The sequence below is a fragment of the Homo sapiens genome, chromosome 4 (genome assembly GCF_000001405.40).
Source record: "Homo sapiens chromosome 4, GRCh38.p14 Primary Assembly".
NCBI classification, from domain to species: Eukaryota; Metazoa; Chordata; class Mammalia; order Primates; family Hominidae; genus Homo; species Homo sapiens.
Genome location: NC_000004.12, coordinates 88,731,276 through 88,758,652, shown reverse-complemented (window position 1 = coordinate 88,758,652; position 27,377 = coordinate 88,731,276). Strand labels below are relative to the sequence as shown.

The 27,377-nt window shown below is 39.7% G+C and overlaps 1 protein-coding gene across 24 annotated transcripts in view, besides 4 other annotated features; it reads left to right on the top strand.

The window, feature by feature from the left end:
* Positions 1 to 27,377, top strand: part of FAM13A (family with sequence similarity 13 member A) — a 331,226-nt gene that overhangs the window by 298,533 nt on the left and 5,316 nt on the right. For 17 of the 24 annotated variants that reach the window (XM_047449479.1, XM_011531516.2, XM_047449480.1 and 14 more), the window contains 9 exons: positions 8,016 to 8,229; positions 8,744 to 8,882; positions 9,620 to 9,701; positions 10,802 to 11,022; positions 11,638 to 11,721; positions 19,528 to 19,623; positions 21,098 to 21,181; positions 26,455 to 26,651; positions 27,225 to 27,326. In XM_047449479.1, coding sequence (XP_047305435.1) covers positions 8,016 to 8,229; positions 8,744 to 8,882; positions 9,620 to 9,701; positions 10,802 to 11,022; positions 11,638 to 11,721; positions 19,528 to 19,623; positions 21,098 to 21,181; positions 26,455 to 26,651; positions 27,225 to 27,326 — 1,219 coding nt within the window. The remainder of the gene's footprint in view (positions 1 to 8,015; positions 8,230 to 8,743; positions 8,883 to 9,619; positions 9,702 to 10,801; positions 11,023 to 11,637; positions 11,722 to 19,527; positions 19,624 to 21,097; positions 21,182 to 26,454; positions 26,652 to 27,224; positions 27,327 to 27,377) is intronic. The other 7 variants (XM_047449481.1, XM_047449482.1, XM_017007624.3 and 4 more) reach the window with 1 other exon arrangement.
* Positions 4,389 to 4,533: an enhancer, noted in NCBI's record as "145 bp enhancer 87 fragment used in the MPRA reporter construct; PK_construct_216". NCBI's record gives its function as "activates an SV40 promoter by MPRA in HepG2 cells {active_cell/tissue: HepG2}" and the evidence as "EXISTENCE:reporter gene assay evidence [ECO:0000049][PMID:23512712]".
* Positions 4,454 to 4,467: a transcriptional cis regulatory region, noted in NCBI's record as "HNF1 motif; enhancer activity is reduced when this motif is scrambled". NCBI's record gives its function as "necessary for full MPRA enhancer 87 activity {active_cell/tissue: HepG2}" and the evidence as "EXISTENCE:site-directed mutagenesis evidence [ECO:0005528][PMID:23512712]".
* Positions 20,681 to 20,975: a silencer, noted in NCBI's record as "tiled region #7691; K562 Repressive non-DNase unmatched - State 16:ElonW". NCBI's record gives its function as "represses a minimal TATA promoter and a strong SV40 promoter by Sharpr-MPRA in K562 cells {active_cell/tissue: K562}" and the evidence as "EXISTENCE:reporter gene assay evidence [ECO:0000049][PMID:27701403]".
* Positions 20,884 to 20,933: an enhancer, noted in NCBI's record as "active region_21718". NCBI's record gives its function as "activates an Ori minimal core promoter by ATAC-STARR-seq in GM12878 lymphoblastoid cells {active_cell/tissue: GM12878}" and the evidence as "EXISTENCE:reporter gene assay evidence [ECO:0000049][PMID:35858748]".

The window sequence follows — 27,377 nt, the reverse complement described above, 5'->3', positions numbered from 1 at the left end:
TATGCATGCAGAAGTAACTGCATTTCCAAATGACCGAAAATCCTTGACCTGTCATAGGAATACCTCAGGGTAAATGTTGCTGAGGGCAGTTGCAATCTAAGAAAGAAAACATGCTTGCCCTTTATCATAGTGTCACCTTGCAGGCCTTTTTTTTTCCTTTGTGACTCACCGGGAGTGCTGATATGTGTATGTCTTTTCCCCCTCATAGTACCAAGCAGAGTAATAGGGAACCGGTGTGCTTTTAGGATTTCTACCTTCTGTGGCGCGATCCTCCCACTGCTGCATGCCAGTCGCCTGCCTCTTTCATGAAATCTCCTTCCCGTTTTGGTTTGCTTTGTTTCTATGTTCGTTTTTATGGATAGATTTTTTTTTCAGGTTAACAAATTTAAGGGATTTGCTTATCAAAAAGAACACTGAATACATGCATCTTACTGAAAGCTTGTAATACAGTGAGTGCTTTAGATTGGTTTTTTTTCCTAGAGACTTTTGGTGAAAACATTAGAAATGTACTTGCGAGGAAGAAGAGAGTAGCCTTGTCAAAATTGTGTTTCAGGGAGGATATTGCAGCAGTTTTATCAAGCTGCTTATTCTTTCATTATCCATGTGTCTGCATCCAAACACATACCAATGTGGATCCAAAATAAATGCCAGTCTACCTCTATACAGTATGTGCGTGACGGCTGCAAGGAGGGAAAAATTGTGCACCTGATTCCAATACAGCAGGATGACTTAACACAATGACTTACCAGGAGGTCTTAGCTGTGAAAAATCAGTCCCGTTTCAGCACGTGGATCTCCTTGTCTTCTCTCCCTACCCGCTTTCCTCTCTTTCTTAACCAAGAAGTTATCTTAATGACCTTAGATGAAGGATCAAGAGGAGAGTTGAAAAGACCACCAGGTGAAAAAGAGTAAACCCCATTTCTGGCATCCAGGGCTTTAGTGAAAACAAACTTTTTTATTCTAGTTCTGTCCTTGAAAGCTAAGAAACCTGTTCTAGTTATTTTTATATAATTAGGCAGTGGGTTTCAGATTTTGTCAGATATTTTCAGCTCAAAATGTATTCACTGAGCAGCAAAACGCAGGGTTGTTTAATTTGTAATTTCAGTTATATATTCCTGAGTACCTTTCTGTTCTTTCATTTTTGAGTACTGTGAAATAATCATGTTAGTTTTTAATTCATATATTAAAAACAACCTGTGCCCCCACCTCCCCCCAAAAAAGTCCCATAGTAGTCACTGTTACCCAAATAAAAGAAAAATACAGTAACCAAAAAATAAATGTTATATTTGTGTCTTAGTGATATGGTCTACCCTAAAGCTCTAGATAAAAACTAGGATTTTTGGTTAGAATTCAAATTAGCCACATTTTTTCTTTCTCCTGAAATGGACTCAGTTTGTTATTTTTATCTTGGTTAGTCATAAATTTATCATCTCTCTCAGCCACTTAAATAATGCTAATATAAAGCTGAGAATACTCTTCAGAGTGACTGAAAGCCAGCTTATAGTTTCCTTAAAACTATTTTATTAACATAAAGAATTTTCCTTCAGATAATAATTGAAGGAACCAGCATTTCATTTTAGAAATCTAGATGGATTTTTTTTTTAAAAAGTTATTGGAAAAAAATATGTTGCATTTCAATAGGCTTGGGAAAGTGGATTGTGTATTCCAAGTAGTTTTTGAAATAACTTTAACTTTTTGTTTTTGTTTTGCCATTACTGCGTTTGTCATTGAATGTACATATCTTTAAAATCTACATGAATTCACATCAAGGCCATTCTGATCATTTGATTACTGCTTTCAGTGACCTTTTTTTTTTAAGCTTATGTACTTATTGTAACTTTCCAAGTTACATTATAGCACTAATATAGCTATAAGTATAATGAAAGTAAGGAATTTTTGCATAAAACGAGAGCAATAAGTCTGATCACTAAAATATCACCTTTTTTTATAGCTAAAATAAGAAAATTGTGTCTTTCCAGTAAGGAATAAACTTTGCACGAATTTGTGAATGTGAAGCCAGTGCAACAAAATATGTAAACGAAAGTCATAATTACCAAAAACCTCCTGAACCAGTATCCACCTACAAGCCCCCATCACCAGTCTTCAAGGCACCATCCCCTCTTTTTTGGTTTGGTTGCTCCTTCCCATCCCCATACCATAGCTCCTACTCTCACATTAATGTGGAATCGCAGAATGTCAGGTGAAGCAATACTTAACTGCAGAGGCGAGCACCAGCAGGCTATTCACTAAGTACTGCCCCTCCACACAAAAATGATGTTCATTGGCTTCTGGGGCTCAGTATCAAGTAAACAAAAAGGGAAATGAAACTAATAAATAGATTCCGTAGGACATGTGGAATGGAACTCTCGCAAAGTGAATGTAGGATCCGAGTCTGGTCATGCTTATTGGCAAATACTAAGCATACTTTATCCTTTTTAAATATACATAGCTGTTTTATTATTTGATTTAGCCACATGACTATTATTACTAGGATTTCCAATCACCAGAGTTAAATGAATATACAGATTTAATGTACTATTCTGTGTTATTTAAAGCTCTTCAGAGTTGCATAATTAGAATGTTCCCAAGCAGTCAATTATGTTGATTTGAGGATACTCCTTGTGTAAGCACTGGGGTTTAAGCAGTCAGCTACTCTATTCAGTATGTCCTGATGAAATTAAATTTAAAGGGGCATTTTAAGCCGGGCATGGTGGTATGCGCCTGTAGTCCCTACTACTTAAGGGACTCCGGCTGAAGCCGGAGGATCACTTCAGCCCAGGAGTTCAAAACCAGCCTAGGCAACATAACAATACCCCATTTCAAAAAATGGAGATGGGTGGTATTTTTAAAAGGGCATAAGATACTTCATATATCTAACTCATCACTTACTGCTTGTTGAAAATAACTTTGGAAAGGAAATTCTCTAAAAGTATCATAGAAAAACAAGAGATCTTAAAAGATATTCCACTTGAACCTTCCTATTATACAGATGAGAATACTGAGGCCAAAAGAAGCAAAATGATGATTCAAAGTAACAAAGTCTCCTCATTTGCACCTGATGCCTCTTTCTAAACAATGTCAGTTTTATATCCTTGTGGGCAACAGATCAAAGTGGTTACAAGCCAGATTCCCTGGGTTCAAATCCTGGCTCTGCTGCTTATCAGCTTTGCGACAAGTTAGTAAACCTGCCCTGGTTTTCCATCTTTAAATAGGATGGTAACAGTAGGTAATAATGAATAGTAGATACAGTAGTATCTACTTAATAAGTTTATTGCAAGGATTAAATGAGCTAAAATATGCTAAGTGCACAGCACAGTATGGGCTCATAGTAGGCACTATGTGTGTCAGTTTTATCTTCCATAAATATTTCCAAGTATAGTTTCAGGAAAAATCAGCCTAAGTTTGCCTTCTTTGAAACCAGAGCGCAGTTTACCGAATGGCCATGGGTGGCTCTGAACACAAGAGGAATTGGTATTACTAGGTCCTCTACAGATTTATTAAGGATTAACCATGTCACACCAACCTCCTTTCTTTCTTTGATATTATTAATACTAGACTTTAGGTTGGGGAAATGGTGCATTTGAAAAGACTTCACCTGGGACTTTGACGGGGCGTTAATGATAGCCCGACTGTCAGAGAAGTGGGAGAGAAGACAGGTAGGGTAGTGAATTAGTAACTGATTAAGCAGCTGTTCTTAAATGTGTAGATAAATGGATCAAAGTCAGCTCAAATGGGGGTATTCTCATTAGGTAAAAAGTCCTCAGCCCTATCCTGTTCCACACATTTATTAATGATTTAAATGGAGCTATTAAGGGCTTGCTTATTAACTTTGCAAACAGGGACAAAGCAGATAAATGTAAGGATTACATTTGTGATTGATAAAGCTGACTACTCTGGTTCTTTCTAACTCTGTTGGTTAACAAGACTAATTGAACAATTTCATAGGACTAACATTGTTCTAAAGTTAAATTTTGGAACACTAAAGAAAATTTTTTAAAATTCTTCCAGTAAAGAGCCTCCACCATGAGGCTTACATCTTTTTATGTCTGGGATGTCCAAGTACCTCCTAGCTCAGCTGAGCAGAAAAATGGTTACATCTTGCCAAGGAGTAATGGCTCTAAATAATATAGTTGGAAAGGGAATGTGGAAAACATCGGCCCCCTTAATTCTGTGCAGATTTCTGAGAAATCAATCATCCCAGTACCCGGTTTTCTTTTGTATAGTAAGTGGATCCAGCCAGCTAAGCAGAGAGTAGCTTGTCCCAGTGACCATGTTAGCGTTACTCAGAGATATGTTCCCTCTTTCTACAGAAAATTTCCGTTATATCCATGTGTACTATAGTGTCTGAACTGGAACTCCCCCAGGGCCTAGTCTTTTTTTATTACTTCAGTAGCAAGCATGCAGCTTTTATCTCTGTTATTTCCGACCTGCTGCAATGTCAACTGACCTGGGTGGATTAATTTTTAATAGAGAGGCATGTCATACTTATGTCCAGAGTTCACTGTGACAAGACACATGTCTAAAAGCAAAACTAACTGTACACAAGGAACTTTGGTCTAGATATGAAAATGCATTTATTTTATGTGGTGGTTTAGCAAGACAGTCCAGTGTGAAGCCTCACATCCCTCCTGTTTTTCCCTTTAAATAATTTTCTTGCAACATTCCTATCTCTCTCCTTGCTCTAGAATTGCTAGTTAAAATATAAAATATTTCCCAAAGTAGCAATTGGGAATGGTCAGGGAATGGTCGGTGAATACATCCTCAAAACCGGCTCTCTAGGCAGGCAGTGAAATTGTACCTGTTATCTACCACACTACCTTATTTAGTACTTTGTTATTGTTCTAGTTGAGTGCCAACTATCAAAACATGAGCCTTGTGCTTTTAGATCATTTCAAACTAAAATGGGGAACAGTTTTATTGATCCCTTAGTTATACTGAACTGTGTATTACATGTCATTTTATAACTCTTTTGAATAGAAGCCTTAAATTATAAGACTATCGAATAACAGAAAAGAGAGAAAAAGGAGAGAATCAGGTAAGCATTTTGTGTTGCATAGATGAGAAACCTTTCACTTCCGTTCTACATGCATACTTTTTATTAGAGTTGAAACTCATATAGTTTTACATTTCTCATTTTAAAATAAGTGAATTCATTCACCCTAACTATATGCTTTAGGAGAAAATGTCACTGATAAGCTAGAATTACTGCAGCTGTGTATTTCGTGTATACCATGGGAGACGCTAGGAAAAGGACACATTTGATTTCCTTGTCAGTAAAGCAACTGATCAAGAATAAAGCCACAAAATAAAGCTGTGTTAACAAAGAAGAAAACTGATGGATGGCCCTGCCGTTAGCCACAAAGCATCAAATAATGATTATTCAGTTCCATGATTAGCATTTTCTAGTGAATTCAAGATCAGTTTATCTTATCACACACTCTTATAAGTAAAAATTTGTATACACAGAGACCACCTAGTTGAAAACTTAAAGATGAGTTATAACATTTTTAAGGAGATATTCTGCTAGATTCTAACACATTAAAGGGCTTCAGGATGTAAGGTAACACCTTTTAAACTAAGATTTTATGAATAGAAATGTCAAACTAACCAGCACACTCATATGCCAATATCAACATCAGACTTTGCTTTGCCAAAGCCCTCTGTCCCCAGGAAAGCTCCGTGCCCTGCCCCCAGTGGCTTTGCTGCTTTGCCACTCTGCGGTGAGCTTATTGCCTGCTGCATTACTGTTCAAGCCATCTTAACCCTTTCCCTCTCCTGGGGAAAGTCCTTGCAGAAAATTACTGGTGTCTTATGAAATATCATGACAGAAGATGCAAGCTGGTCAGTTTAATAGTTCCATTTTCTGCAGCTGACATGTTTTATTTTTTCTAGTGGTTGCTTTCCAGTCCCCCCTCCTTACTTCGCCTCTCAGTCCATTTTTTATTCTTTTATGTTGGCGTTTTGAGCTGCTTGTGCCCAAGTCCTACCACTTAGGAGGAGCAGACCGATAGTGTTAGTACAAATGATGAAACACCTCCTGTTCGTGTCCAGCTTTAGCCAGGCACATCTACCAGCATGTCCTCTGCCACTTTTTGAGCCTCAATAGATAAGAATCTGTCTTTAACACTGCTTTCATTTCTTAAAATATTTGTATTTTTATCTGCATTTCCAGATAACCTAGTTCTCTTTAAATTTCGAGAACCTGTGGACTTCATTCCATATAAAGTTAATTTTTTAAATTAATGTGCTTATCCTCCCTATTATATGGGGTCTACTAAAATCTCAGAAAGTTGCCACTCTTATGGAAGCACTTGGCACATTCTAAGTTGAAGCACTGATCTGGAAGTCAGGAGACTTAGCTTCTAGACCCACCTCTTGGGGTTTCAGTTTCCTTATCTGTCACCTGCTGGGTTGGATCAATCGTTCTCAAACCTGGCTGCACATGAGCATCACCTGGACAGCTTTTAAACTTGTGTGTGTGAGGCGCACATATCTGGACCCTCACCTAAATATTGTTGACTTGGATAGTATGAGGAGCCTGCGTGCTGGTAGCCATTTATATTTCCCTGTGTGACTTTAATGTGCGGCCAGGATTGAGAAATCACAAAATTAGTTGAGGTATGAAGTCACACCCAGCTGTAACATTCTAGGATTATATATTTTTAAATAGAAGCCTGAATAAGCACTTATTTAAGATAGTTTTGCACATTTTATAGTATGATAGGTAGAGGAGCAACTGTTCCCATGATTCAAAGTCTAGGAATCCCAGAGTTTAAGATCATAGCCAAATTCTACCGTTGTGTAAATCACAGTAATCCACAAGTAAATTTCAAGCATAACTCATTCTATAATGCAAACATTACAAATGAAATACCTTATATCATCGACATCTATTTTTTAAATCTTTTAGATAGGATTTTGTTTAATGAGGAAAGGAGTCTATTGAGGTAAGTCTTGCAGTAAATAGAAGTAGACAGTTGCCCTCTTCTCTCCCTAAATAACAGATCAAGATTTTGTGCTGAGCGTGTTTTTTTTTTTTTTAACAGATTATCTAAACTGATTTGTACAGATTTGTCCTTTGTAAGGTGTTCGTTTTTCTTCTGTTGGCTAATTTATGTATGCATCTCACTCTAACTGGAGTCTTGAGCAGCTTCTGAAGTTTCAAGTGCAAAGCATGCATCTTAAATGTGCTAATCCCAACACACTTAAGCAGAAGCACACAAAACAGCTTACTGGATGACCTCAAGGGAAGTTATAAACTCCTAAATACATAGGCTCTCTCAAGATTGATGTGGTTCCTTAGCTTGACTCCTCGGTTGTTTGGTGAAGGATGTACAGCCGTGATACCAAATATCTCCCCCACCAACACATTTTCTTTTCTTTGTTTTTTTTTGTTTGCTTGTTTGTTTTTTGAGACAAAGTCTCACTCTGTCGCCCAGGCTGGAGTGCAGTGGCGCAATCTCTGCTCATTGCAAACTCCACCTCCTGGGTTCAAGCAATTCTCGTGCCTCAGCCTCCCCAGTAGCTGGGATTACAGGCATCCGCCACCACGCCCAGCTAAATTTTGTATTTTTAGTAGAGATAGAGTTTCACCATGTTGGCCAGGCTGGTCTCAAACTCCTGACCTCAGGTGATCCGTCCGCCTTGGCTTCCCAAAGTGCTGGGATTACAGGCATGCACATTTTCTTTTCATTGATGCCATCACGTGGAAGAGTTTTTATCACTAATTGACTGGGCTTCCCCCCTTCAAGGCTGCTCCTCAGGGTAGCCTAGCAAATTCTCTTTGGAAAGCCAGTGAGAATGGAAACGAGAGGTAGACAGATGATGGCTGTCAGACATATTGGTGATTTCAGTTGGGGCGCGGTGTCCTTAGCCTGGACCTTAGCTGTAAAATGAGAAACGATTCAATGGGCAGCTTCCTAAAGCATCTGGGAAGCCTGGGAAACACTTGTGTTTTAAAGAACAACCCTGACCTCTTTCAGGAACAGTCCTGATCTTACTGCCCTTATCTTCCAGAGCCTATCCCTGCTTTCTCCTCCTGGCAGCGGGAGAACAGTGACTCTGATGAAGCCCACCTCTCGCCGCAGGCTGGGCGCCTGATCCGTCAGCTGCTGGACGAAGACAGCGACCCCATGCTCTCTCCTCGGTTCTACGCTTATGGGCAGAGCAGGCAATACCTGGATGACACAGAAGTGCCTCCTTCCCCACCAAACTCCCATTCTTTCATGAGGTATGTTTCTCTGTGTTGCTGATAGACAAATGCATCATCCCCACAACATCAGAAAAGAGGAATGGCACTGATAGTGAATAATTTTTTTTAATTAAGTCGTGAGCCTATGGAGCAACATATTTGAAATTCTCCATCCTAGGACACAGGCCATGTTGTAGTTTCCCATTTGAGCTGTGGCCCAACTGCAACATCACATATTGAATTTTCTTAGCGTCTCCTTTCCAAAGCGCTCTCCAATTCAGCTCTTGTAGGCCCACAGGAAAGGTTGATGTCCAGTCCTACTTTGCTAATTATAAATGTGAGCTAGAAAGCCTAGATGTACTTAATAGGTGGGACATACCAAGCTCCAATGGATCACTCAAGTGTCTTTTATTCAAGAGGAGAGAGGCTGTTTTGTCTCCGCACTGCCCCCACCCCACCACCGCATGCCACATGGTGTCCCACTTCCCCAGGGCCCCTCTAGGCAAGCAGTGACTGCTCCTGGGGAAACTGACCCAAGTCGTACTCTTCACAGGCGGCGAAGCTCCTCTCTGGGGTCCTATGATGATGAGCAAGAGGACCTGACACCTGCCCAGCTCACACGAAGGATTCAGAGCCTTAAAAAGAAGATCCGGAAGTTTGAAGATAGATTCGAAGAAGAGAAGAAGTACAGAGTAAGTGTCCCCTCACACTGTTCTTTTCGCCTCATCCTCTCCCTGGACATGGCAGCATTTCAGCAACTCAAAGAAACGACGAAAGGTTAAGGGAGGCTTCTAGGGAATCTTACAACAAAAAGGCAGTAAACCCTGGATAGTACACCCTGATAAACCCCAGTCATTATGTATCAGCATTTTCCTTGCACAAGTGTATTCTTACAAAAAAAAAAATGAAAGCTTAAGTCTACATTTTATAAATTAATCAGTAAGCAGGAACTGGAGAAATTGTTGAATGAAATCCTTTGTTTGACTAAAATTTAATTCAATATTATCTTCTGAAATCTTGTTAGCACTGAGCTCGTTCTGCTGTCAGCTCTGTACCACAAGAGTGGCAAAAAGGCATTTTTGTGACGGTTGCTGAGCAAAACATCATATACCCCTCTGTTTTCTACACTGTTCGTCTTACAGGTTGAACCCTACAAATAATGGCAAGGGGGTCATGGACCTCACAGAAGTCACTGATCATAAAGATGCATTTTGCCTCTGAGGAATTTTTTGAAAGCATCACAATAACCAAATATAAAGAAGGATAATGGAATTACATTTGTGACATTTGCTCTGATTGGTCGTGTTTAATTTCTTATTCTGATGGGGCTCAACTTTTCCTTCCTATTTAAAACAAAAATGATCATCAAACACTTCTTACTTTCCCTGCTCCAGTTCCAAAGCATTTACTCTAGACTTCCTTTTCTCAGCCTTCCCACAGTGACAAAGCAGCCAATCCGGAGGTTCTGAAATGGACAAATGACCTTGCCAAATTCCGGAGACAACTTAAAGGTGGGTAAAATTCTGGAGCTGTGGCTTCTGTACAACAAGCCAGGTGCAGAATCTCTCACCTCCTCTCCCACTGAGTGCCACTGCTAAGGCATTCCCCGGTCCTTAAAGATGCTTCCCAGCACTCTCAGCTATTCAGAGTGACCACTTCCCCAGGTCTTCACATGGTCTCAGTCACAGGGCAACCCGATCAGCTAAGAGGCGAATTCTGCAGCATTTCTTCATTTCCCTGGATCACTAATAGAAGGATGATGGTTTCAAGTCAGCATCTCTCAACACCTGTTTAATCCAAGTCTCCATTTGCTGTGGTGGTAGAAGCAAACAAGTAGACACAGAGATGAATCTGCAAAGGGTATGGCCTCCATCCCTCAAAGAGATTCCCATCTTTTCAGAGACACAGTCATGTAAACAACTAAATAGAATACAAAGTGAACCTAATTTCAGAATAAGGTGTGTAAGTCATACAGAAAAGGTTGGCCAGTGGCTGGGCATTAGATCACTAAATACCTTTAACCACTGAAGGAGCAAGGATGCCACATTCTGAGAGCATCATACAGGCTGATGTGGCTAAAGCTTTCTCAGCAATTAGTGTTAGGGAAACATTCCATGTAATCAAAGAAAATGTTACCATTCTCTCAGGTTTTACATAATAATTCAGGGATTTCTACTGATACTGTAACTAGATACTCTCTGAAAAAAGAATAAGTTATTGATACTACAGAAAAACAATTTGTGTTGGGCAGACATCAAATCTCATATATCAGGCCGGGCGCAGTGGCTCACGCCTGTAATCCCAGCACTTTGGGAGGCCGAGGCAGGAGGATCATGAGGTCAGGAGATCGAGACCATCCTGGCTAACATGGTGAAACCCCGTCTCTACTAAAAATACCAAAAAAAATTAGCCGGGCGTGGTGGCGGGCACCTGTAGTCCCAGCTACTCAGGAGACTGAGGCAGGAGAATGGCGTGAACCCAGGAGGCGGAGCTTGCAGTGAGCCGAGATCGTGCCACTGCACTCCAACCTGGGCGACAGAGCGAGACTCCATCTCAAAATAAATAAATAAATAAATCTCATATATCTTTACCCCCAAATCTTCTCAACTAGAATCAAAACTAAAGATATCTGAAGAGGACCTAACTCCCAGGATGCGGCAGCGAAGCAACACACTCCCCAAGAGTTTTGGTTCCCAACTTGAGAAAGAAGATGAGAAGAAGCAAGAGCTGGTGGATAAAGCAATAAAGCCCAGTGTTGAAGCCACATTGGAATCTATTCAGAGGAAGCTCCAGGAGAAGCGAGCGGAAAGCAGCCGCCCTGAGGACATTAAGGTGCGATCATTCTGTGAAGTGCTAAGCCCTAAGCCATTGCAGTCAATGTGGTAGAGACACAGGGCATGCCACGTGAATCCCAGTGGGAAGATGATGCCTTGTTAAGCCTTCCAGGCTGTTACGTGTCTAGGGAAGCTGATGAAACAGCTGCAGAGTGCGTTAACTGTGGGTGCTTTGGTTTTTGACTACAGATTGAAAACAAAACTCTATTGTATAGATTACAGAATGAACTTGTTTAGGTTAATAGCTGGTTTTGTGACTCTGAGGTAGAAGGATTAGAGACAAACCTTTGGGACCATGTAACGTATAACCGTCGTCATTGCTTGGGCCATTAAGCTAAGCCCCATGTGCCTCACAGCCCTGCTTACCTCAGTGTTCACCTTACCTTTGCTGCCGTGAGGGAGATCCAGGTGGCTGATGATGATTCTGCTGTGCTGGCCACGTTTCTCCCAAGAGCTCAGGAGTAACCCATTTTTAAATGAACTTTGGATAGAGCTAGGGAGAGCTGTTATATGAGGGTTCTTTTTAGCCTTGCTTTAGTAATTTAAGTAAAGAAGTTGGAATGTTCACACACATTTTCCTCTCTTTCAATTCTCTATCCCTGTGTTTATACAGGATATGACCAAAGACCAGATTGCTAATGAGAAAGTGGCTCTGCAGAAAGCTCTGTTATATTATGAAAGCATTCATGGACGGCCGGTATGTGATGTAGTAAATTTTCTGATTGGGGTCAATTATCTGGCTTTAGAAATGGATTTTCTATGTTCAGTATTTTACAAATGGGGTTCCCTAATGTTTGCTTGCTTTACTTTTAGGATAAAGGAGGTTAGTATATATTTACACCATAACTAAGCTTTCTGAAGGCTTAACCAATAAGAAAGTTCTATCTAGTAGATGTGGAACTTACTTGGGTTCCAATGAAAAATTGGTTTGCAACTAAAATTTAGTCATTAATGTACCGCTTTAAAGGAAGGAATGGTGGAGGGGCCAGGGGTCGGAGGGGCAGAGTATAGGGCATAAAGACCCCTGGAGTTTGGAGACTTCCCTGTCCCTAGGTCTCCCCCAATAAGCTGTCACTGTAGGCTTCCTCATCCATAAAATGAAAGGTGTGAAACTAGAATGATCTGCCTTAGAATTCAATCTCTCTGCAATGCAGTGCAACTAGTGTTTGTAAAGAAGTTCCAGCTGCCGTTCAGAACCAGAAGCGTGAGGAATCCAAAATATGGCTTTGCCTTTTCATAACAACGGGAAGCATTTGAGGTGGCTTGCCGTTCAGCAAGCATTGCTTAAATGTTTGTTGTTAGCTGTGGGGGAAACGGTAGCATGATAGGCTTCTGCTCTCTTCCCTGAAGAACTTTTCATCAGACACCCTTCTTGTCAGTCACTCTTAATAACCTTTTGTTCATAATGTTGTCAGAGACCTAACAAAACAAATTTTTAAAAGCAGGTATAAGGAAGCACGAAGTTTAGGTTCACTGATTATTTTTATATAGCCAAAAAGTATAGATCTCTTTTTCAGTCTTGGCCATGACTATATGATAGTCTTTTCATCTAAAATATGCTCTTTTAAATAAAGAAGGTTCCAGAATAATTCACTAGACTCTAAGGTGTGGGAGGTCAGGGATTCTGGGCTTTGTTCACCTAGTGGTGACCCCAGTCCTCAGTGTCTAGCACAAGACCTGACACATGACACAGGCCCAATAACTATCTGTAGAATGTCTCCTTGGTGGCATTTTAATTCTGAATTTATCAGGTTTAAATGTAAAAAAAAAAAAAAAATGCTGGCACTGATGATTCTTCTGCTGGCCTGTCCCTGCAGTGGAAAAATACTGACACTCTGGGATAATGTTCATGTTTCAGCCAAGCTTTGTTTGGGATTTTTTTTGAAGGCATTGAACCAAATAGTAAATGCTCTAGAGCTCAAATACACTGTGAAACTTTCTCCTTCTCCACCGGAATATTCAAAATGTGTAGAGGCAGAAGTGAACTTCTTTTATCAGAGAGACACTCCTTCTCCACAATAGGCTTAGAACCCTGCTCTGTGTAGCCATCTGGTAGGCCTCATGGAGAAGGTGTGTTTTCCTTCTTGAACATTTCCTCTTTTACTTCTGTGGATTTGGGTTATGACATTGATAGACACCTTTAAGGACTTCCATGCCCAAGGCCCTTAAGAGCTCACAGCTGTGTTCTAGATAGACTTCACCTTGCTGCCAATTGAGTATTTTGTGTGTTGTAGTATTTGTTGCTCTGAGTTGGGAACAGATTCCCTCATTCAGCCTGGACTGGGTCAGACACGTAGAATTGGCAGACCCAGATTCAAAACCCAGCCCCACTGAGATTAGCTCTATGACTTTGGGCTGCTTAGGTAACCTCTCAGAGCCTTGGTGCTTTGTCTATATAATAGATATCTGTTATAGATTGCCAAGGAGATTAAATGATGTTACAGACACACACACACACACAGACGTTTATCTGTATATACTTACCTGTAGGATGTCTGTCACTGAGGAAGTGGGGTGGGGTGGCTTTTACTGGGTCTGCACAGTAAATGATAGTTTTCACCTCTGTTACAATTACACGTTCTACTTTCTGTGGCCTCCTTCTGATTAAATGATTAAATCAGGCGAAAGAATGTGCATTTCATAGCTCTCTTATCATTAAGAATATGAACTATTATTCTTGGCCCTGCCTTATTATTCCCTTTCATCACTCTTTCAGGTGGGTCCGGATTCTAGCATCTCATAGGGTGGGGAACAAATGCTCTAGGAAATTTGAGTGTCATTAATTTCTGGTCCAGGGCCAAACTCTCTGCCTCTCTCTATTTGGAACATGATGCTCCAACCTCCTCAGGAAAAGCAGAGTTCATTTGATATCTGGCCAGTCTGAAAAAAAATCAAAGAGTCAACTTTTAATTCTTAGATTTGTGGTGTTACCATGGACCCTGGACTGTAAATGCCATGCGGACAACACTCTTCTTAGAAGAAAAATACATGTACTTCTAGAGTTAAACTATTGTTCCAAACCCCAATTGTTTAGAAAAGCAGGTGCTCAAAACTCAATGGATTTTTTTCTGAGTCTACAGATACTGATTTAAAAGGGCACTAACTACTAAAATCTTAGGCCAAAACTGTAATCAGCCGCTTCTGTACATTTTTAGCAAAGCTGTTTGCTTTCTCAGGGCACTCTGAGGGCACTCTGCAGAGTTACACATATATAAACACAAAAACACTCACTTATACACAGGCATATAATTCCCTATTATTATTAAAGTGCGTCCTCTTCAATGTTTAAGAATCTTCTCATCAAAAGACCATGTCACAGAAGTGCAGTAAATAACTACATGTCACTGTATTACTGTGTGTGTATCCCACTATTTGATAATGACCATAGAGGGGAGAGAATGGGTTACCTGATCAGAACCAGAAGCATACTCCATCTGATCTTCCTCAATGGAGTATTTTAATCTTATGTTTTTAAACCTTGAGGACCCTAAATACAGCCATGTTCAAATTTAAATGCAAATTCTGGAGCCATTTATAAATATTCTCCTTCGGTTAGCTGCTGTTTTGGATTTTCTGATCTTTTTACTGTCTATTATGATAACCTGATAATGAAGACAGAGTTGCCATTTTTCAAATTAACAGGCCAAGAATGCAACAGTTATAAGAATCCATCCCATTTTGTCTTCTCCTTCTAGCAGTTTGATGATTCAGAGGTATAGCCCTCACACACAAACTCAAACTACTTCTTGTTTTACTAAGAGTTTGAGGCCGCATAGTTTGTCTATGACATAATTTCTCACAAAGTTGTGTTTCTATGACACTGTTCATAAGCACAGATTTTTGTAAATTCAATATAGGCAAACTCTCAGCTTGGAAGGCAGAATTCTTTATATTATGAAGACAACTTGGCGAAACCCTATTAGAGAATAATGCTACATCTCTATGCTATATTGACTGCGCTATATTGATGATGCTGTATTGATGCGCTATTGATTGAGCATCCCAGATCCAAAAATCATCACGGTTAAAGATCCTACTTCTTATTTGTGAAAGAAAACAACTGGAAGTTCATAAACCTGGGATCTGGACCCATCTCTGTGGCCTTGAGCAAATCATTACCCTCTCTGGTGCTTAATTTTATCATCTAAAAAATAAGGCTTTTCTAGCTCTTAATATTTCATAGTTCTAATTTATCTTTAAAGTGAATATGTTCATTTTACCTTTCACCTTTGTGGTTTTGTCAGGTAACAGCAACTAAACTGATGTTTCAGTAGGGAAGAGTTTTATTTGAAGCTAAGACCAAAACCGTCACAAAAGATAAAGGCAGACAAATGCAGCTGCCTAATCAGGCCTTTTTGATTTCTGTTCAAGACTTGCCATTAATTAAATGTGGATAATTATTGGCTAGTGTTCCCTTTGTGTTTTGAAATATCCGAAATTTACGGGACAACCAAATAGGGTAGTAAAAGACCAGTAAATGACAATTTATTTGAATCATAAGGAAAGACGGAGTGGAAGTGCTGCTTTCTCCCCTTAGATCTTCACATCTGGATATTTATGTTGTTTGACTTATGTGCAAAAATACATCTTAATGATAACCCTAGTTCCACATATTGGAAGACCATTCAGCACTATCACTTTAAATAAAGTTTTGAAGCTAGAGGAGTGAAAGTATTTTGAAGAGATAATATACTACATGCCTGGCCTAAAGTCATTTCCAAGCAATTAGGAAGCATAAAGATTTTCTAATTTGAATTCTGCAATTTACCATTCAGGAAACTGAGGCTGAGAGAAGATCAGTGTAGCTCATTCAGAGCCCTATTCTTAGTGGGCAGCAGAATCCCTGAGCAGCTGATGAGTCAAGAATAAGAGATGTCAACTCAAACGGTTTTCCTGTGGTTAGATTTAATAGCTCTTTTTTGACAGTTCAGCGAAGGTCCTGCTTTGTTCATATAACTATGGATTAAATTTTGACCCCACTCACAAACTGAGCACTGATCATTATTATGATGGGTAAAAGTTGCATTAACTTGTAGTATCACTGAGCCTTTGGCTTCAAATATATATTATGAAAATGATTATGATAAAAATCAGGTCGTTATTCTTACCTTTCTCTTACCTCAGACTTAAAGATCTTTGATATTTTTGGTGCTTCTGTTAAATGACAATGGTTTTGTGGAATCATGAGTTTTAACTCTCCATAGTCAAAAACACTGGATTTTGTCAGATCACCCACAGGTGATTAGTTCCTGGGGGTCACTAATTGAAAACATGAGCAATTTGTAGAAAATCTAAATATCAATGTCATGAGCCAAAGAATTAAGCCAGTGATCTTCCTCATCTACTCCAAGTAGAAAACTTCGTTTTTGAACAAAGAGTAAGGAAGGAGATTGGTTTCTGTCAAATTTGTCACAACTGGTTGGTTTTACTTTGGTCTTCTGTTGCAGTCCAAAGATGTTTCTGCCAAATAACTAGTAATGGATGCTAGTTCACAGTGGGGATGCTGGCTGGTTCCTATTTCTACTTTTAGTATGTCTTTGGTTACTCAACCGTCTATTGTTTATCTTGCACATTATATTTCACCATGTGTCACGTGCTGACATTAGGATGCACTTTAATCTCATCTGCAACATATTCTATATCTTGTGTTTAAAAGATTATTACATGTGTCTCAGTCCTAAATTCTGTCATTTTACATGTGACATTGTACAAGTCACTTAATTTCTGTTTCTCAAACTTATTTGTGGCTATTGTTGCACTTTTGTTGAAGTACAGGTTGAGTATCCCTTATACGAAATGCTTGGGACCAGAAGTGTTTCAGATTTTGGATTTTTTCAGATTTTGGAATATTTGCATTATACTGATTGAGCATCCCAAATCCCAAAATCTGAAATTCAAAATGTTCCAATGAACGTTTCCTTTTGGCATCACGTCAGTACTCAAAAAGTTTCAGATTTTGGATTTTCAGATTTGGGATGCTTACCCTGTATAACATAAATGCAGAAAAGGGCCCAAATTATAAACATATGTCTTGATGAAATTTCACAAAGTACACACACCCAGGTAACCAGCACCCATATCAAAAAACAAAACGTTGCCGATCCTCCAGAAGCCTTGCTCATGTTCCCTTCGTCAGTACCGTGACTCAAGGTTCCACAGAGGAAAACCACTATCATCTAACTGTGTGGATTTTTCTTATTTTTGACCTTTATGTAAGTGGAATCTGACAGTATGTTTTGTGTCTGGCGTAATTTACTCAGCTTTATTATTATGAGGTTAATCCATGATGCATATAGCTGTGATTCACTTATTCTCGTTGCTGTGTAGTATTCAATTTGGGGAACATACTTTATTCTACCACTGATGGGCATATGGGCAATTTCTGGTTTGGGACTATTTCCAGTTTGGGATTATAGTGCTGCTATGAGCATTCTTACATATGTCTTTTGATGAACTTAAGGCCACCTTTGGTATATACTTAAGAGTGGAATTGATGGATCATAAGTTCAGCTTTAGTAGGTACTGCCAAATAGTTTTCCAAAGTGTTTCACTCTTACCAGCAGTGAAGGAGAGTTCCAGATGTTCAACATCCTTGCCAGCACTAGACACAGTCTTTTCATTTCAGCTCTGTGGTAGGTGTGTAGCGGGTGACATCTGTGGTTTGATCCTTAGTCTTTTTCTGTAAAATAATTTGGGTCCCTTCTAGTTTTGACAGTCATTGTTTATAAAATTATAAAACTCCTCATGGTATAGTACATAGTAGAAGCAGGAAAATACCAATTGCCCATTAGTTATCTGATAACAGAAGTGCAAGTAACATAAGGCTGTTATTCTTCTTGATCTTATTCTAACTTGTCAAGTTTATCCAAAGCACACTTGCTGTTGATCACTTTGAGAAAGACAAATACAAAAGGCAACAAAGGATCATCCATTTCTTCATAATCCAGAGTCATCTTCAAAGTTGAAGGCTCAAAAAACCCGTAAAAGAAATGGTCAAAGCTAACGCTACTTGCCTTCCTTACCTCTAAAACTCTTGCCTTATTATATGTGAAATAGTAAGAGAATGCAGGAGACAAACAGCTAACTTGAAGCAAAGATACTTCATCTCATTCCCCATTTAAGTAACCAATGGGACTGCATCTGTGAATCAGGCACACCTATTTATGTTTCAAATATTTATTCACTCATTTGACTGATATTTATGGAATATTTCCATGATGTCAGGCACTGAAATAGTTACTAGGGATACAAAAATATAAACTCCTGCTCTCAAGGGGCTACAGTCTCAAGGAGGAGACACGTGTCAACATATCGCTACAGTAAAGTGTAAAAGCATTTATGAAATTACAGGGTATGCACGGGGCAGGGTGGTGATTTCACAAAGGAGAGAATGGGTGAGTCTCCCAGAATGGGGGATGTTGGAAGAAGGCTGCACAGAGAAGTGGCTCTTCATCTGGAATTTGCCAAACAAAAGAGCAAAGAGGAAGCCATGGCAGGGTAGAGGGAATTGGACAAGAGGGTTGAGACAACCTACTTTATTTCTGAAGCTTGAAGTATGATGGGGAGGAGAAGCAGCAGATAGAGTATGAGGAGCTTCCAATACTATACCAGGGAGTTGAGTATGATTCCTCCCCACTGCCTGGAGAATCAGTCCTTTAAACATTTTTTAGCCCTGTGCCAGATTTTAGGGATACACAGATGAATCAGTTCATGTATTTTTCATCACATGTTCCTTGAATACCCACTGTTTGCCAGAATCTTCTTCTTAGAAACATAATTTCATAGAGGAGAAAGACAAGTAAATGAACTACATGATATGTATTTTTTTTTTTTTTTTTTTTTGAGACAGAGTCTTTCTCTGTCACCCAGGCTGGAGTGCAGTTGTGTGATCTCGGCTCACTGCACCCTCCGCCTCCTGTGTTCAAGCGATTCTCCACCTCAGCCTCCTGCATAGCTGGGACTACAGGCACCCACCACCACACTCAGCTAATTTTTTTTTTTTTTTTTGTATTTTTTAGTAGAGACGGGGTTTCACCATGTTGGCCAGGCTGGTCTTGAACTCCTCACCTCAGGTGATCTGCCCACCTCAGCCTCCCAAAGTGCTGGGATTACAAGCATGATCCACCATGCTTGGCCTACATGATACGTCTTATAGCAGATATATGCTTTCACTTTCCCTGGGCTCAGAAAATAGTCATCTGGGAACTCTGAACCTTGAGGAGTTTTAAGCAGGAAGCAGGAACCTAAGAATGATCCTAGTTTGGATTTAGAAAAAGCAGTACTACCAGTGGAGTGACTTCCACTGATCTGCAGCTGAACTAGGTAATCTGAATATTTATTGAATAAATAATATTATCAGTTTAAATAAATTCTGTGAGGGTAGTAAGACTTAAGTTGCATCATCTGGAGTTTCTCTAGAATTACAAAGGCCCAGAGCATGCTTAGACAGCTGGTTGTGACTCCCAGCAGCAGGCTTCTCATAGCTCTCATTCTTGCTTTTCAGGTAACAAAGAACGAACGGCAGGTGATGAAGCCACTATACGACAGGTACCGGCTGGTCAAACAGATCCTCTCCCGAGCTAACACCATACCCATCATTGTGAGTAGAATACCTTCCCGTGGCTGGTACAACACCTTTCCGCTTGAATGGGCCCTGGATATATGAATAGGGCCCTAACCTGCTTTCTCATTAAAGAATAGGCTTTAATTGCTGAATCAGCCATTACTATCCATGGCCCACAAGCTTGAGGAATGAAGACTTTATCAAAGACCCCTGAGGCTACATTTGTTAAAAATGGGCAAATCTGAAGCTGATAGAATTTATTTTTCCCTTTTGGAGGACATGCTTTGCCCAAAAGGCATGTACATCCATTGGATATACTGGGTCAGAGATGGAGCACCACGTGGGTAGGGCTGCACTTTCTCCAGGCCTCTTCACTCCAAAGAGTGCCGTTCTGATCCCAAGGCCCTCTGCTCATAGTCCCTCCCATCCAAGAGAGGGATAACTCCCTTGGGAATTGTGTCCAGGGAGAAAATCCTCTGAGAAACGAGAGAGAGGCCCTTCTTGGAGGATGTGGCAAGGTGTAGGAAAGGAGGCTACTCATTGAAGTTGCTGTCAGTGGCCACCATCCTTAAACTTTGCTGCTTTTGGCTCCTGGCTTTTGATTTTGTCAAGAGTAGGGAGCAGCAGCTTGCCTTCAGCGACAGGAAGTCTTTAGGGCCCAGCCACCTGCTCCCATCCCTCATCCCAGACTCAGCGTTTCCACCCCCAGCTTATGAGTAGGGTGTTCTGCCCTGTCCATCTCTTAGGGAAACATTTGCTTCTGTTTCAGTGCTCCCATCTCCTCTGCTGGCTTTTAGGCTCTTTAGCAGACACAAACTCACTTTGATGTTGCCGTTGCAATACATACTCATTTTAGCTGCTGCTCCTGTCTGGCCCGGCCTTAAATGCCCTTCTTATTTCTAGGCCTAGAATATTGTCTATTTCTTTTAACAATGTATTTAATGAAGAAAGGAGGGTCCAGAGATCTCAGGCAGGTGTATTTGAAGAAAGCCACTTTAATGTATTCTGGAGGAATGTCCTAAACTAACAAATAAAACGATTAGATCTAAGGAGTTGTTTTCATTCTCCAGGCAGGAACCCTTAGTGTCCCTAAGTAGGGTGAAGGTGCAACAGAGAAGTCAGCTCCCCTTTGTATTGCTTTCTGAGCTTATGTGATTCTCCTTAGCTGACTACAGCCGAAGTGTTCTTGTGGTTAACTGTGATTGGCAGGGGCAGCGATGGGAGGCAGGTGTTTCTCCTCGGGTTTCTTCTGCGTGTCTGCCGGATATACTCCTGTGCTGTTCTTGCTGTACTCTGTCCTCCTTGATTTATGTGTGTGGGCGCTGAAGGGAAGCAGCAACTTGGAAAAAGAACTTTTGTTGTTTCAGGTTTTCCTGGGAGTGTTTGGCAGGGAGGGATAAGAATGCAGAGTTAAAAGTTAATAAATACTGGTGAGGTCAGAGGAGGCCGAGAGCTGGAGGGAAAGGGAAAGGGGTTCGGAATGTAACCTACTTGTTAACACCTGTCACAGGGTTCCCCCTCCAGCAAGCGGAGAAGCCCTTTGCTGCAGCCAATTATCGAGGGCGAAACTGCTTCCTTCTTCAAGGAGATAAAGGTGAAGACCCCAGCTGCTAACCCATTGCTAAATCCGCACCAGTTCCCTCCCTCCTCCCCTCCCCTCCGGTGAATGGAAAGGGGGTGTGATCGGGCCTTTTGGTGGTGGCTTCTTACAGCATTCCCTAAAAATCAGTAGCTACATATAACCAACTTTGAACAGTTCCTCTAAAGAGTGCTAATTTCTCCAGTTCCATTTAGTTGATTTCTTTGGTTTCATTTTATTCCCCCCCTCTTTTTTGTATTGTCTGTTGTTGTTTTGTTTTTACTTCGCTTTCAGGGATTATTTTGTTTGGTTTTGTTGTCCACAATGCTTTTTGTTTGGTTTTGTTTTCTGTATTTGGGGAATGGATTTTTCTGTATTCCAAAATCTTAAATTAGCTCATTAGACCAACTTTAAAAGGAATCTCATATACTGTTTATAGAAAAATCAAAATTAACATAGGAAATATATATATAAACATATAAAACAATGAAAAATTGTACTTCTACAAATATCTTAGTAGTCTTTGACAGATTTGTGGGTGCAGTATTTCCGGCTTTTTTCCTTCTTGACTTTCTCATAGCACATTTAGTCCCCAGGACTAATTTTAAAATCTGCTCTTAATCTACGAATGAGGTGCTGTGAATGACTGATAGCTACCAGAACATATGTCCTGATTTTTTTTCCAGTAATATGGATTTTGTACAGATAATCCTTGTCATCGGTGGCTACTTTTGCTAGAATGCGAGATGTAATCTGTGCCCATAGATCAGTGTGTCTCTGTGGGACCCTAATTGGCCCGTACTAGGATCAGCCTCTTTCATGTTTTTGTTTCTAGACAACTGAACAAACTGGACTGCCTTATACAGAACTCTAGAGATGAAAAATCAAAGGCAATCATTTTTTAAAAAACAGTGATTGTTTTTCTAACAGTCATTTAACTCCAAAGCAAGAGTTAAACCTGAAGCAGAAGTGAGTTTTAAGAGTTTCACTTGTCATATTTCTGTGATAGTTCCGAGCCTGGGGCGATCATTTACGTGCTGTAGTTAGGAATGATTATTTCAGTATATGGGGCCCTCTTGTCTACTGAGGGAAACCAATTGAGAATTTCTCCATTTTCTTGTCTGAGGTAAGGTACCACAAGCTATAAAGTCTTCTTTTATGTATTCCTTTTCTTGCCTTTTGCAGATCTTGATACATCATATGCCTAATTTTATGGTATTAGGCAATGACTGTGCTCACTGTATTAAGTAGAACTTGTTTTATGAAAATGCTGTAAACACGGTACTTGAAATTTGGGCCAGTATACTATATTGTGTCTTTAAAAATTAGAGCTATTTTCTTACAATAAGCCTTGATGTTAATGAAAGACAAATTTTGTCTGGCTGGTAATGTCACCCAAGAATGAAACCACAGTAATTGGAGAAATTTGGGTAATTGTGTGTATGAAAATTAGCATGTTTCTCTTAGCAGCATGCAATAGAACCGTTACTAGATAAAAATGTGTTCTTGAACACATCCAAAATGTAGACACTTAATAAGGGTTTCACCAAATGAATTGAAGATAACCTAATGATGCTCTTTTTTATAAAAGACATTTTTCCCATTCTTATCCTTTAGCTTAATTTTTTTTCACAAGTATATTTTGGCTGTGGTTTATCTCCTGGCCCACATCATGGTCAAAATTTCAGATAATTTTGCAATGACTACTTTGCTTTTGTAAACAGTGCTGTCTTTTGGTTCACTTTGTTCCTGTTGGCCAGGCCTATTAGAAAGTATTTGGACTGTACTAATTCTTGGCAATTCCAGTTTAGAATTTGGTGTGTGTGCAGGTAAGATTGTATCTAAGTGGTTTCTCCAAAACTCACCCCTGGTTTTAAATGCTTTTGGGAACGAACCAGCTGTATATGAACTACAGCCAGCTCAGTTCTGAAGGCCTAGATTTTCCAACCCAAAGAAACCTAGAGATCATCTAATCAGTTCTCCTAGCCAACATAAGAATCCCCTCTAAAACTTCTCTGGCAGAATAGAGACATTGTCCCTACAGAGAGATTCCATCCTCAAGCTTAAAAAGTTTACAGCAATGGAAGGAGTTATGTCACTCACTACATAAGTATCAATAATAGCTGATAACTTATATTATTGGTTTTATAATTATTTGTTAATTACATAATATGTAATTTAAAATGTATAGGTTTGATAAATACCAAGTTAATGAAAATAGTTGAAATTATATTCATAGCTATTATCAATTTATTACATTCTATCCCATAGGCTTAGTTTTGCCCTTTGGAGCAACATGAGATAGACATACTGCTTCTTCCCTGAGAGCACTGCCTGTATTTACAGTCACCTGCCCTGCCCACTCCCACCCCACACCCTGTGACAATTTGTTATCCAAGTTCCTCTTACTCTTCCTTATGTGATACGGGTTCCAGACCTTTCAGTGGTCTCCTAGCTCTGCTGTGTGCACACACACCAGTTTATCAATGTTGCTGTTAAAACTGATACCCGGAACTGGACATTAACCTGCATATGGTTTAACCAGGACAGTGGACCAAAGACTAGTCCTTACATTGATCTGGATGACTGAGACCCTTTCATGCCTCCAGTTTCTTGCCTATGCAACTGACAAGGTATTGGGAATTCATTTTGGCCTTTCTGAGGATAGGGTGTCTCAGCCTCAGCACTGCTGACCTTTGGGGCTGGGTAACTGTTGTGCAGCACTGCCCTGTGCTTTGTGGGATGCTTACCAGAGTCCCTGGCCTCCACCTACTAGAGGCCAGTAGTGTGGCACCACCACCCCTTCACCAGTCGTGACAGCCAAAAATGTTTCCAGACATTGCCCGATGTCCCCAAGGGAACAGATCACCCTGATTGAGAACCACTGCTCATGGCCCTGGCATATGGCCCTGACTCATGCTTTGCTGTATACTTGTGCATTGCCACTGATGTATCCAGCTTCTCTTTTTCCTAATTATAGGGCCTTGAATTTTTCCAATTTGTTACGTCTCATACTTCTATTTCAGCTGTAGGAAATACACTAAATCTAGCTTTTTTACTCCAACATATCAGATATCCCTACCCGCTTTGTATTATCTGTACATTTTGAAATATGCCTTTTCTTTGTCCAAGTGACTCAGATACTGAGTAAGGCAGGGTCAGGCAGAGGGGCTGCTGTAGACTGCCCTTCAGGTTCATGTCACCCTTCAGTCATTACTCAGCAGAAATTTGGGAAGCCAGCTTTCCTTTCGTAGGGTCTGCTTACCTGGTTGTTTATTGAAATCCAAATACTACATCTATCAAAAAAGGAAAAATGGTTCATTTTCATGACTCATTTTTAAGGAACCAGTCTCATCAGTTGATCACTGATTTTTCCCAATTGCTTATATATTATCTATGTATTAATTCCTTCTAGAATCTACCCAGTATCTACAACACTTATGATGGTTGTCTTATTTGAAAATCTATTTGCTATTTTTCCTCGTGATTTTCAAAGGCTACTGAGAGTAATTTTGTTACATTTATCTCAAAAAATATTGAGTGCTCACTATGTGCAAGGCACACTTCCACACTTTTAAGTTCTCTCAGGACTTTGGGATATAATTGATAAGGCCTAGACACCTGATTTCATTAAAGGTCGTTAAGTTCTTATTTGTAACTCTGTTAGCTGTCCCTAACTCTGTTAGGTGTTTATGCTCTTCTAATAGTAATTTTTTGTAGTTCTCTTTTCAAACTGAATTACTAGACTGCTTAACAGCCATTTATTGGCCATATGCAAGCATTGGCCAAGCTCTGGGGACAGCAGTAAACAGGCCCCAATTCCTGCCTTCACTGAGTTGGTCAGATACTTCTACCCTGTTTTCCTTATCCAGGGGAGGGGAAGGAAGAGAGGGAGCGGAAAACTGATGTGCACAGCCAGTGTCCCAGGTGTGCCTTATGAGGTACCTGACACACATTATCTCAATTTTTATCAAAACTACGTCGATGGGAATTGTTATTACTCTTACTAAAACAAAAAGAAACGTATTCATTTAAAAAGTCAATTTTACTTTGTAAACTTTTAAATGTTTTTAACAATTTAAAGAGACTCAAGGTCTGAAGTCACAGCTGAGACAATCTGGAAAAGCCACCTAGCTTTTGCCAATTTTATTTTCATAGCAATACTTTGATATCAGTTATATGATAGTCCTTTTTTGTTTTGCTTTGTTTGGTTGCTTGTTTATTCACATTATTTCTCTTCAGAAACACCCTTATTAAACATATCAAAATTTACCATGAACCATTTGCACACTTGTACTTTGCCCGCCAGCGGGAACTGCTGCGGCCTCCTGAGATGTTTTTGCTGCACTGGCATGGAAACCATTTGGTTTACCTGTAATAATTGGTGCTATGCATACCATTTTTTATGTGGCTGTATTCCGAACCAATTTTTAAATTTTTTAGGATAGTAAGTTATTCTCTGTGGTCTGACTACCTTTTGGCAGTACATCACTTGTTTTGAAATCTTTCACACTCTGATATTATCTCTTCCTTAGGCTTACATAGCCTTAAATTGGCTCTAAGAAATGCTGATTTGGCTTTATTATTTTTCTATTTGCATTATCAATACAGACCGAGAATATCATACTTTTCTTAGAATCTTGTATGCCAAAAAATACAGATGTGGCCCTTGGAAGTTCTTTGGAAAAGCTTGAGTTTTCTTATTTCAATCATGAGAATATAATATCTTTCAGTCTTCTTAAAATTTCCCTAAAATTTTGTGCATTAAGCAGCCATAAAATATTTTCTAATCTCAATTCTTAAATAGAAATGTTGTATTATTTCAGAAAATGTTCAGACTGATTTTTTTTTTTTTTAAAGCCATCTGAGATACCCAAGTAGTAGAATCCTTTCAAGCACTGGTTACTGGTGATGAATTTTGTTTTGTACTGTCACAGAGCTGGAAATTTTTGGATCCTTTTAGTTCATCTGATTTAGGTTATAAATTATGATGGTTGTTCCTTCTTACCCCCAACCTGACAACTATTAACATGATGTACACTCATTTTAAAATAGTTTTGCAGTCTGTTTTCTCTATTGAGTGGCTACATTGTGTTATTAAATGTGTATATTTATATCGAATACAGATGTTCAATAATATATCTGTAATGTACATATGTGTTGCTAAATGTAGATACAGAAGAAACTATATGGAGTCTGATAATTAAATGATTATTAAATGATACTTGTAATGAAAGTCTGCCCCAAAAAGTGACCAGATTTTTATTGGGGTTGCTGTGTATCTCCAGGAAGAAGAGGAGGGGTCAGAAGACGATAGCAATGTGAAGCCAGACTTCATGGTCACTCTGAAAACCGATTTCAGTGCACGATGCTTTCTGGACCAATTCGAAGATGACGCTGATGGATTTATTTCCCCAATGGATGATAAAATACCATCAAAATGCAGCCAGGACACAGGGCTTTCAAATCTCCATGCTGCCTCAATGTATGTCATTTTGGTGGTGGTGGTGAAATGTTTTGGTAAAAATAGCTCACTTAAATATTATCTTAGCCTTTGTATCTAAATAAATTAGCTGATAAAATACAAGTGACTACCTGGGGTGTATCTGGATAAAACGGTGATTTTTTAAAAAATTTCTTTTTTTATATGCTTCAGCCCATGTTATTTGAGGGAACTTTTGAGTCTTGTTTAAACAACCAGAAGTTCTCTCTCTAAAGGGCATCGTGTGGTTCTGTACATCACAGCCCATCACTTAACACACGCTGAGCACAGATGTCATCTCTTTCTTTCAAAGAAAAATATGACAAAGTGCCATGGGATTTCACAAGGGCTAAGAATTCCCAAGTAGCAGGAACCCCCAGAAGCTGGATCTGTTGCCAGCATGTTTGGCTTTCAGGAAATGGAAAACATGCATTTCCGCGCCCCCTCAATGCTCTCAGCAGTTTCTGCATTTACTTGCCTCCCCTTTCTGCACAGCTCCTGTTGAGTTACACATTCATCACATTTATGACAACTCAAATTTAACTTAATTTCCTTGCAATGCTTCCTCTCTCTTAGACCTGAACTCCTGGAACACCTCCAGGAAATGAGAGAAGAAAAGAAAAGGATTCGAAAGAAACTTCGGGATTTTGAAGACAACTTTTTCAGACAGAATGGAAGGTAGTGCCTGTCTTCCCCCACCCTCCCTTCCCCCCCGCCGCACCACACACA